The sequence below is a fragment of the Homo sapiens genome, chromosome Y, assembly GCF_000001405.40.
Source record: "Homo sapiens chromosome Y, GRCh38.p14 Primary Assembly".
In the NCBI taxonomy this organism is placed as follows: Eukaryota; Metazoa; Chordata; class Mammalia; order Primates; family Hominidae; genus Homo; species Homo sapiens.
The window spans coordinates 13,355,530-13,367,977 of record NC_000024.10 but is presented as its reverse complement, the minus strand read 5'-3'; the positions used below and the strand labels follow the sequence as shown (position 1 = coordinate 13,367,977).

The window sequence follows — 12,448 nt, the reverse complement described above, 5'->3', positions numbered from 1 at the left end:
TTAAGATTATCACACAGCTGGTAAGTGGATACTAAACTTGCTTTATAGTTGTATTGATACATGATCAATGGAAACATTTCACCTAAAATTTATAGAACATCTTAGTGGGTTTTCTTGTCAAAAATCTGTTACATTCTCATATTGAAGATAAGGTAATCTAGTGTTTGAAAGTAGTATAAAATAATATGTTATCATATAGAATATAGCAAGTCCCCTCCCCAGTAATTAATTTCGTTGCTTATTTATCTTGATTGTATTTGCTATTTGGGTTAATGTTTGTTGGTAGTCCTTCAGTACAGTTATTTTTTGGCTTTGGTCTAAGCAAATAAAATCCTAACTTTTACTCAAGTTGGTGGTAATATAAATTTTTTTTCTGTCACTGTTTTATCCACAATTTCAAAAGCAATTGGGCAGAGTTTTGCTTAGATGCTTTTGGAAAGCTAATTTTATACACTTGAATTAAGTCACAGCTGACAGACTGTTTTTGATTTGACTTGAGCATTTAGCATATATTATCTATTAGATTTCAATTGTTTATGTAGCTGTAGTTCATAATCTATTTATTAAACAAAAATCTGCGGCACACACTGTGTACCACTCTTATGGCTCTTTGAACCTAGTTTTCATTTTGCTTTTTCCATATAGCCTAGAAGTTTTGTTGTGATTGTTTATCTAATGCTGTGACATTAATAATGTTATTATTATAAATAAATAATGTCAGTAATGTATGAGGCCTTTTGTAAGTTGTTTAAAGTGTTACTTTGTATTATTTTGAGATTTTATAAAGGATTATATTTTAGGTAAAAGTCCGAAAGCAGCTATTAAAAAGAATATAAATGGGTGTGGTGGCTCCTGCCTGTAATCCCAGTACATTGTTGAGAGGCGGAGGTGTTCAGATAACTTGAGGCCAGGAGTTTGTGACCAGCCTACCCAACATGGTGAAATGCCGTCACTAATAAAAATGCAAAAATTAGCCAGGCATGGTGTCCCATTCCTGTAATCCCAACTACTTGAGGGGCTGAGACAGAAAAATCTCTTGAACATAGGATGCAGAGATTGTAGTGAACTGAGGTTGTGCCACTCCACTCCATCCTGGGCGATAGAGCGAGACTCCGTCTCAACAACAGCAGCAGAAGGAATGTAAATGAATTATCTTTGATTACATAAGCATTTTTTTATTCTTTGGATGTAAGCATGGGGTTGAAAGTTGTTTTTGAATTTCTCTCACTGCATGGTAACCTTTAAAGGACAGTAAATTTATCAATTTTATACTTAAAATTTATAACTTGCATTTTTTTCCAAACTAAATTTATAAAAGAGAATTTGATTTGTCATCTCCATGTCAATCCAGTTCCTAAAATCATTTAGTTATCTGTGTGTGCTTTAAGATCCCTTTTTAGCTTTGATTGTATCATTTTGTGTGAAATAAACTTCTCTAAACTTTGGTAGTTTTAAATTTTGGGAAAATGTGATCTAAGTTACATGAATAAATTACTGAAAAAGTAATTTGCTGTTTCCTGCATGATTTTCTTGAAACTGAAGAAGTAGAATGATGGGTAAATGCTTATAACTTCTTAATTATAGGTTGGATGCATCATAATATGGATCTAGTAGGAGACAAAGCCACAAAGGAAAGCTATGCTATTCAGTATCTCCAAAAGTCTTTGGAGGCAGATCCTAATTCTGGCCAATCGTGGTATTTTCTTGGAAGGTGAGATGAAATACTCGTGCTATCTAGAGTTTATTTGTAATGTAAAATCATTTGTAGATTTTATAAAATGTAATCTGAGAAGTGAAATTTTAAAAATAAACTCCCGGCTGGGCGGGGTGGCTCACGCCTATAATCCCAGCACTTTGGGAGGCCGAGGCGGGTGGATCACAAGGTCAGGAGATCGAGGCCATCCTGGCTAACATGGTAAAACTCCATCTCTACTAAAAATACAAACAATTAGCCGGGCGTGTTGGTGGGTGCCTATAGTCCCAGCTATTCAGGAGGCTGAGAAAGGAGAATGGCGTGAGCCCGGAGGCAGAGGTTGCAGTGAGCTGAGATCACACCCTTGCACTCCAGCCTAGGTGACAGAGCAAGACTCTGTCTCAAAATAAATAAATAAATTAATTAATTAATTAGTTCCCAATTAGTCTTTCAGTTGTCTGTGTAGCTGTAGTTATTAATCTAATTATTAAACAAAATCTGTGGTATCCACTGTATACTACTCCTATAGCTCTTCGAACCTACATTTTATTTTGCTTTTCCCATATAAACTTGAAGTTTTGTTGTGGTTATTTACTGCTGTTATAATCGTAATTTAATTAAAATTAAGATATAATTACATTTTTATTACAATATAATTAATGTTTAAAATATAATTTAAATATCCCCCTAATTAAAATAATTATATTTTTTATTTCACATTAAAATATAATTATATTATGTGCTTAGAAAATAAAAAGTTCCTAGGAGGTAAAAATAGATAGCTTTGAATTTAGTTGCTCTTATTGAGGTACTCTTCTTTTACTTACTACATTTTGTTTTCATGTTTTTCTTTTCTTTTTTTTTTTTTTTTTTGAGACACAGTCTTGCTCTGTTGCCCAGGCTGGAATGCAGTGGCATGATCTCGGCTCACTGCAACTTCTGCCTCCCGGGCTTAAGTGATTCTTGTGCCTCAGCCTCCTGAGTAGCTAGGACTACAGGGGTGTGCCACCACGCTCGGATGATTTTTGTGTTTAGTAGAGTTGTGATATCACCATCACATTTTCTTAATCTGAGTACAGTTATTGCTAGCTTTTAAAGAGTCTTAAAAGGGTTTTAAAGGGTACCATCACATAATAATCACCAATAGTTTTCAATTTAGTATTTAAATTGTATTTCCTTTGATATCTAGCGTTTTAAAAAATATTCAGCAAAACCCCAAGTTTTAATTTTATCTGTCAGTCATCAGTAGAAATTTGCTGTTTATAATCTTGGCTGGTGATTTTTTATATTAATATGGAAATATTTTTATTAATCATAGCTCTCAAATTACAGTGCTAGTGGAAATTCTAGAGGAAATGCATAAGTTATTATTGTTCGTTATGGTAGGAACATAAAAAATTTTTGGTAACCCAGACATTTTTTCTCCATATTTTTCTTACTTTGAATGTTGACTGTCTGAATTATACCTACTGGTATAATATTTATGTGTCTGATAGAATACATATTTGTACATGTACATGTTTTTTTAAATCACTAGATTGTAATTTAGTGTGTTGCAAAGATCAATGGATTGAAGACTCAGAAACCTGGGTTTTAAATCCTGGCTTTGCTGTTAACTGTGGAATCATTGATAGTCCATTTAAAACTGCTTGAGGCCAGGTATAGTGGTTCATGCCTGTAATCCCAGCACTTTGGGAGGCCAAGGTGGGCGGATAATTTGATGAAACCTCATCTCTACTAAAAATACAAAAATTAGGTGGGTGTGGTGAGCAGGCGACTATAATACCAGCTGCTCTGGAGACTGAGGCAGGAGAATCTCTTGAACACAGGAGACAGAGGCCGCAGTGAGCCAAAATCATGTCACTACACTTCAAACTAGGAGATAGAGACTCCATCTCAAAAATTAAAAAAATAAATAAACTACTTGACATCTCAATTTTTCTTAACTCTTGAGAGGATTCAATTATAACTGTCAGGCACCTTTTCAAAACAAGGTTATATCTTAATTTAATTGCTCTGATTTGTTTCAGTGGTAAATTTTGGTTTTTTTTTTTTTTACATAGGGTAGCTCATTTTGTGTAACTTTGACATGCAGACATGTTCAAATTTAGTTTTTCTGTTAACTTTGTGTACAATGTTTTTTTTTTTGAAAGGAAAGCATATTTATATTAAAGGGAGACTATTGTTAGGATTATTCCTTATTAAAAATATTGGTCTTCTGTTAATGATAAATAATAAAAATGAAGTTAATGCTTTGTGGTAAAGTTTTTGTAATGAAGAACTCTAGGGTTTATAAAATATTTGACCTTGGGTTGCTAGTAATACAAAACTTGAGAGTTCCAAACTTTGACTTGACCCACCACTCAAGTTCAGGAGAAGCTGAATCTTTTTTGTATCTGCATTGCACAACAAAGTGTTTTGAGCAACCTGGCTTTATTACTCAATGCAATAGTTTTGTTACTAAATAGAGCAAGTGAACTAAGTAGGATTTAGGCTTAGAGCCGGCACTGTTATATACTGTTAGCTTTTGCCTTAATACAGTAACATTAAAAGAGGTTAATTACCAAACGGAGCAGGTGTAAACATTGGTCTGTGGCCTTAAGTTTTATTATATTTGAGCAGTTCTTTTTACTATAAATAGAAAGACTGTGAACCAGGACATTTTTTGCTTTTTTTTTCAAGAATAAGATTCGTTGCATGTTTTGTTATAGTACTGGAATATCTCATTATTGTAAAGGATAGTTGTTATTGTTTACTTCTTGTAGCATTTTATAAGATAATGTAATGAAAGATGCTTAAGATTACAGTTTCAGGCTCATGTCTATAATCCTAGCACTTTGGGAGGCCAAAGAGGCTGGAATGCTTGAATTCAGAAGTCAAATACCATCCTGGGCAAAATAGCGAAACCCTGTCTGTACCCAAAATACCAAAATTAGCTGGGTGTGGTGGTGCCCGCCTATAGTCTCAGCTACTGGGAAGGCTGAGGTTGTGAGGAAGGAGGCTGGCTGCAGTGAGGTGTGATCATGCCACTACACACCAGCCTGGGTGACAAAGTGAGACCTGTCTCAAAAAAACAAAATGAAGGCCAGGTGCAGTAGCTCACACCTGTAATCCCAGCACTTAGGGAGGCCGAGGCGGGTGGATCATGAGGCCAGTAGTTGGAGACCAGCCTGGCCAATATGGTGAAACACTGTCTCTACTAAAAATACAAAAATTAGCTGGGCGTGGTGGTGCATGCCTGTAGTCCCAGCTGCTTGGGAGGCTGAGGCGGGAGAATCACCTGAACCCAGGGGCAGAGGTTACAGTGAGCTGAGATCTTGCCATTGCACTCCAGCCTGGGCAACAGAGTGAGACTCTATGTCAAAAAAAAAAAAGGAAGTAAAATTAGTTTCAATAATATACTTTTATAGCTCTGTAAGGAAAGTAGTATTGACAAAGGGCTTTCCCTGAGTCATATGAATTTAAGGCATTGGGGTGTGGTTTGGTTTTAATGTTTTTAGCTAAAATTTTCACAGAAAACTTTCTTGACTTCTCAGATGAAGGTAATTAACCTGCTTTGGTTTCATGGAAAATTTTTTCTTTGCTTTTACCTTTTTCAGTCTCATCTACTGCCTTCTGATTTAATGCTTCTAATGTGATTTGTGCTGAAAAAATGATGTGTTAAAAGTTATACTTTAAAAGTTATTAAAGCTCTGCATAAGGACATTGGGTGTTAGTAAAACACATAGGCATCTGATAATTTGTCATTATTTAGGGCTGTGTTGAATATTTATTTAGCTTTTCAATTGGATTGTACATATCAAAGTGAAATGGGGATGTAGTAATACATTTGTAATGACACTGGTTATTGCCTCACTTAAAATAGTCTCCTGGAGTCACAGAACTGTGTGTAATGTTAAATTTGGAAGAGATTAGGGGAATACCTTTGTTCACTCTTTCATTTTATAGATGTAGGAAGTAAGTCCAGAGGAATAAAATGTTTTCCTCAAGGTGACATGTAATTATTATCAGAGAAAGAGTTGCAACTCAAATATACCCTGTGCTTTTTGTATTACTCTAGATTACCACAGAGGAGCCTAGACATGTTGCATTAAAGGGAAAGTTTTTGGTGACTGGACTCAGACCTGTGTTTCAGTGCATTGGCTTTCTAGTTTGCACTTTTTGTAAATGGAATTGGAAAATGTTGGTCTGAGAAAATACTGCTTATTTCTTCCAGTATTAGCCAGATTTGTCTGATAATCTGAAATTGGTTTTAAGAAAATTTCTTTCTTTTCTATTCATATTCACATTCTTTCTGGTGTCTGTCGCTGTTACATTGTCATTAAGTATCTTCTTATCAACAACTCCCCTCCCCCACAACAGTTTGTATGCATCCTCTAAATATCTCTGTTTCAGTTACTGGCATTTCTTGTATTTCCCAGCCCATTAATGACTCATTCTGTAGACATGTTTCTACACCTCTCTTACATGCATCCTGTGTTCTTAAATCACTCTCTCATATGAGTAAATTCCAAATTAAAATCTCTGACTTTAAGTTAGCTTATAATTCGGTACCACATCTGGTTGTTTTTACTGAACATTACCAAAGTCCTCACATCACATCTAAATTAGCATTTTTAAAAACCTTCTTCATGGTGTTCTTTAGCAACTTTCCTGATTTGTGTGTGTGTTTTCTTTTGTTCATTTTTAAATGATAACTGCTGTTTTCCCAGTGAACCAGGCTTATAACAATTGCCCCCCCAACCCCTACTCTCTAATCACATCATCAAGTCTTTATTAATCCTTAAGTTTGATTATTTTTCCCCATCTTTTTCTGTCTTGCCATTTCTGTTATTTCCCCTATAGTTCTTTACCAGTGTCTAATATGGTTTTGTCGGTACACGTTTATTTTCATTTTAATCATATTACTTGCCCTTTAAAATACATATCTCAAGTTGATAGCCTAGATTTAAAAATTTCCATTTGTAGGTTGAGTAATATTTGCACATATTTTTCAAACCTATACGAAATGCCTCTTCTCATGTTTTCTGTTTTAATCTGTGGTTCCCAGCTGTTTGGGATACATAAGTTAGAAGAGATTGAGTGATCAACCTATAGTACCTGTACCAGTAAAGATATTGTAGGGTTTTTGCTGTTTTGTATCATTTAATGTCATAATAAAGTGAAATTATACAGATGGCTTCTTGGTAACATATGCACACACATAGAATTCCTCCATCATAAAGAATATAAAGTTAAAAACTTTATATGTAGAGAATTACATGTTGATCATTTTTACAATAGATTTACTTTTTTAAACAAATCACACAGATAACAAAGAATGATTGTTCTGAGTGTTACTAAGTGGAAGGGGACTATTAAATCCTAATATAAAAGTCATTATCAAAGGTACTTTTCTCTTTAGATTTAACTCTGTTCTTATAATGTAGGAAGCCTGCGTTCAAACTTGTGTAAATAGAGAGCTTTATGTTTAACCCTCAATATTATAGTATTGAAGAAATCTTCAATAGTTTCAGAAAAGTTTATTAATATAACGTACTAGCTCTTTCAAGACAGTATTTAACAGCAAGTTACAATAGAGATTAAAATAAATCATATAATGTACATCGACAATGTAAAATCATAAAGTACATCAGTAATCATATTTACACACATACTCATATGCTTGCCCATTTTTTCTTCTTTGGAATACAGTTCATCTTTTTGGCAAATAAATTATTAATGGAATTGTATTTATTTATATTTTTTCCTTTTAGGTGTTATTCAAGTATTGGGAAAGTTCAGGATGCCTTTATATCTTACAGGCAATCTATTGATAAATCAGAAGCAAGTGCAGATACATGGTGTTCAATAGGGTAAGGCTATATATATAAAAGCAGTAGAAGCTCGCTTGATACACTGGATGATTGAAACATCTAATATACTGTATAGTAATATAAAATTAACTGGCTGGATATAGTAGTTCATGCCTATAATCCCAGCACTTTGGGAAGCTGAGCCTGGTTGATCTCTTGAGTCTGGGGTTTCAAGACCAGCCTGAGCAATATGGTAACACTCTATTTCCATGAAAAAAATTTAAAAAAATAGCCAGGCATGGTGGCATGTCCTATAGGCCCAGGTACGCAGGAGTCTGAGGTGGGAGGGTTGCTTGAGCTGGGGAGGTCAAGGGTGTGGTGAGCCATGGAAATGCCACTTCACTCCAGCCTGGGAGACAGTGTGAGACACTGTCTGAAAACAACAGAAAAATAAACGAACGAAAGTAACCAGTAGTTTTTGACAGCATTCTTTTTCTTTCCAGTGTGTTGTATCAGCAGCAAAATCAGCCTATGGATGCTTTACAGGCATATATTTGTGCTGTACAATTGGACCATGGGCATGCCGCAGCCTGGATGGACCTAGGTACTCTCTATGAATCCTGCAATCAACCTCAAGATGCCATTAAATGCTACCTAAATGCAGCTAGAAGCAAACGTTGTAGTAATACCTCTACGCTTGCTGCAAGAATTAAATTTCTACAGGTAAAAATTTTAAATAGTATATTTTAAATGACACGTATATTCCTATAATAATTGGCAGGAGAAGGGTGGCTGGCAAGTTTGTCTATTTGTGTTTTGATGTTGCCTTGTTTCCATATTTTGTAATATTTTGTGGTATTATTTTTCATTTAATTTTAAGTGAAATGCAGTATGTAAACTATGTTCTTTTGCACATTTACTTTATTGATGCATATTTACATTTTACATTACTATGCATGAACTTTTTCAGTGTGCTTATCTGCATTTTTAACTTTTCATAACATTGTAGAGAAAATAACAAATGCCATTTTTCACTCTTGCTTAAAATTTCATGAGAAGATATCTGTGAGAACTGAAAAATAGAGCTTGTGTTTGTTCTGATTCTCCAAAGAATATTCTAGTTGCCCTCTTTATATTTAACATCTACCTAAAATCCCCAAATTTAGAATTTTTTTTTAAATACCTATAACCCTGAGGAAGATTTAGTGGACTTGCTCTTACTCAAGTAGGCTTGTGTTAAATTTGCTTTTTACATAATTTTTCCTAGGCTCAGTTGTGTAACCTTCCACAAAGTAGTCTACAGAATAAAACTAAATTACTTCCTAGTATTGAGGAGGCATGGAGCCTACCAATCCCCGCAGAGCTTACCTCCAGGCAGGGTGCCATGAACACAGCACAGCAGGTGAGAAGTTGGGTTATGTTCTGTAGGTGCCCAGCTTTAAGGGTTTTTTTTTTTCACTCTTCAGTAATCAAGTTTATTTCACTAAACAAAGGATTGACTTTAAAATAGAGAAATCTTTTTAATTAAAAAATAAAAATTTTTTAATTCTAAAGAGTTTTAGAAAATAAAAATAAAATTCCCTCTGATATGGGAAGGAATACGGGTGCCAGTTTAAACCTTTGTATATTCTCATAATTAGAAAGTAATTTCTTAAGTGACATTTCTATAGTTGTTTATTAAGTTTAAAAGATGAAACTTTTCTGAAGAAGACACACATTGCTCCCTTGATGATTCATTTGATTATAATTTTGAATAATTACCATCAATGATGTCCGCATAGTGTTGAAAAGTATATGAAGTTTTATAATTTGAAGGAGTGAATTAGGAATATGTAGAACCATATTTTTATCTTACTTCTGTGATCCTTAGGCTTATAGAGCTCATGATCCAAATACTGAACATGTATTAAACCACAGTCAAACACCAATTTTACAGCAATCCTTGTCACTACACATGATTACTTCTAGCCAAGTAGAAGGCCTGTCCAGTCCTGCCAAGAAGAAAAGAACATCTAGTCCAACAAAGGTATATATACATTTTAGAGATATGGAAAATCCCAGTCAAAAATGAAACTAACTCTTCTGAAATTGTGCCTGGACTGTATTTTAAGCTTGTGGACATCAGAAAGTGAAGCAGTATTTCTATTCCATAATCTTTGCATCACATTAAATATAGAAGGTAGGGATAAGTTTGTGTTCATCACGTCATTTTATTCATTTCCCTGCTTTTACAATTTTAACACAGTTTTTACCATCACTTCTGACAATGAAATAAACTGAATGTTGAATAGTAGTAGACCACCTTTCTACCTCTTTGAGACGTAATTTAAATATGGTCCTTTTTTTCTAAATGTGTAAGTTTATGAATTAATTATGCATTTTTAATAATTTTTAATGATTTAAAAGGATGTCATATATATACCTATTCCGATTCCTAGTCACTTGGTTCTCACTAGTCATAACTCTAAGTGTATGAAATTAAGCAAATATTCTTAATCTTTTACACTAAATTTTCCTTAGAATGGTTCTGATAACTGGAATGGTGGCCAGAGTCTTTCACATCATCCAGTACAGCAAGTTTATTCGTTGTGTTTGACACCACAGAAATTACAGGTATGAATTCTTTGACGATCTTTCCCCCAATTCGAAAGCAGTAGAAACAGTAAATGTTGTTTTTTAGGTATTAATTGAATGATGATTAACTAAATTAATATGAATATAATTAAAACGAGCCCACATTTTCCAGGATAATAGGAATCAGAATCCATTTTGTGAGAGGAGAGGAAACTTAAATGACATAAGGTGAAGGCACCTTCCAGTTTCTACCTCTAGCCACCTATTTTTAGTTTTTCATGCACAGGCAATGTTAACAGTTTTTTTCTAGAGATGTAAATTGTGCATGTACAAACAAATGTGTTTGTGTATTGTTTTTTTTTTTTGAGACAGTCTTGCTTTGTTGCCCAGGCTGGAAGGTTGTAGCATGATATCAGCTCACTGCAGTCTCCACTTCCTGGGTTCAGGCCGTTCTCCTGCCTCAGCCTACCGAATACCTGGTACTATAGGCATGCTTCACCATGCCCAGCTAAATTTTTTGTATTTTTAGTAGAGACAGGGTTTCACCATGTTGGTCAGGCTGGTCTTGAACTCCTGACCTCAAATGATGTGCCTATCTCAGTGTCCCAAAGTGCTCGGATTACAGGTGTGAGCCACTGCACCTGGCCAAGTCTCTCTTGTTGTTTTTTTTGGTTTGGTTTTGTCTTTTGTTTTTTTGAGATGGAGTTTCACTTTTGTTGCCCAGGTGTGATCTCCAAGTTTGTCTTTTCAAAATAGAATTGTAGGTACACTTTTACAAATATTTTAGGATCTTAGTTTTTTTGTTAAAGATGTATCTTGAGGATCTTTCTGTGTCTGTGTATTGCTTCTCTATTCTTTGATTTATGATTGCATGGGTGGGGCAAATCTGTTATTTAAACAGATCCCAACTATTGGGCATTTACATGTTTTTCAGTAATTCTGTTACAAATAATGTTGCATTAAGCATTTTTATTATTAAGTGTTTTAAGCTAAATAGCTTTGTCTTTGAATTTTTATTTCCCCATAATACATTTAACTAAAACCACACAAAACAGCTTTCCTCAGAATTTTAGATTTTACTGCCTTTTTCAGACTTTTTTTTTTTTTTTTTTTTTTTGGAGACAGAGTCACACTCTGTCGCCAGGCTGGAGTGCAGTGACATGTGATCATGGTTCACTGCAGCCTCCGCCTCCTGAGTTCAAGGGATTCTCTTGCCTCATCCTCCGCAGTAGCTGGGATTACAGGCATGCTCAACTACACCCATCTAATTTTTGTATTTTTAGTAGAGTTGGGGTTTCACCATGTTGGCCAGGATGGTCACGATCTCCTGACCTCGTGATCTGCCCTCTTCGGCCTCCCTAAATGCTGGGATTACAGGTATGAGGCACCACGCCTTTCCACTTTTTCAGACTTCTTAAAGGATTTTGAGCTTGAGTAACATTGGTTAAGAATCACTATCGGGGCCGGGCGTGGTGGCTCACACCTGTAATCCCAGCACTTTGGGAGGCCAAGGCAGGCGGATCACAAGGTCAGGAGATCGAGAGCGTCCTGGCTAACACGTTGAAACTCTGTCTCCACTAAAAATACAAAAAATTAGCCGGGCATGGTGGCACATGCCTGTAGTCCCAGCTACTCAGAAGGCTGAGGCAGGAGAATGGCGTGATCCCAGGCGGCAGAGGTTGCAGTGAGCAGAGATTGCACCACTGCACTCTAGCCTGGGCGACAGAGCAAGACTCTGTCTCAACAACAAAAAAAAAGAATCACTATCTTAACGTTCATTAGGAATCACTGTCTTTCATCCTGCAAAGGTTCTGTGTAGTCTTTTTAGTGAGGAGTTGCCTTATATTGTCTTAAATTTTAGATTAAACTTTGATTATATTAATCTCTTTTCTTCTAGCACTTGGAACAACTGCGAGCAAATAGAGATAATTTAAATCCAGCACAGAAGCATCAGCTGGAACAGTTAGAAAGTCAGTTTGTCTTAATGCAGCAAGTATGTATAATATTTTTATTTTCTCTAAAATTTACCAACAGTTTGAGAATATTTCTTTACTACAGTATCATTTTAGAGGATATTAATGCTAATTTATAGTTTCTGTGTATATTTCATGGGATGTATATATCTGAGTTTTACATATGTGTTAGTAATGGACAAATTTTTTAAAAAGGAAATATACTCAGATTAACTTAGATCCAAATGATTGATTTGAAGGATTTGACAAGAATGTAAACTGAATGGAAATTTGAAATCTTCTGTTTCATGAAGGAAAAATGGCCTGTAAGTTTTTGAATCATTATTTATAATCTTTAGCAGCTTTATTTTGCCCTTGAGCTGTTAATAAAGGCCGATTTCTTTACATACTGAAACACCTTTCTTCTTTTTATA

At 35.0% G+C, this 12,448-nt stretch overlaps 1 protein-coding gene across 123 annotated transcripts in view; it reads left to right on the top strand.

Annotated features, from left to right (window-relative positions):
- Positions 1-12,448, top strand: part of UTY (ubiquitously transcribed tetratricopeptide repeat containing, Y-linked) — a 246,776-nt gene that overhangs the window by 112,693 nt on the left and 121,635 nt on the right. For 39 of the 123 annotated variants that reach the window (NR_047627.1, NR_047602.1, NR_047639.1 and 36 more), the window contains 5 exons: positions 1,585-1,711; positions 7,450-7,548; positions 7,992-8,211; positions 10,009-10,101; positions 11,960-12,055. Coding sequence is in view for 67 of the 123 variants with exons in the window: in NM_001400173.1 (NP_001387102.1) it covers positions 1,585-1,711; positions 7,450-7,548; positions 7,992-8,211; positions 10,009-10,101; positions 11,960-12,055 (635 nt within the window). In the remaining 56 variants the exon portion in view is untranslated. Of the gene's footprint in view, positions 1-1,584; positions 1,712-7,449; positions 7,549-7,991; positions 8,212-8,755; positions 8,891-9,358; positions 9,668-10,008; positions 10,102-11,959; positions 12,056-12,274; positions 12,341-12,448 lie in introns of all 123 variants that reach the window. The other 84 variants (NR_047620.1, NR_047611.1, NR_047623.1 and 81 more) reach the window with 17 other exon arrangements.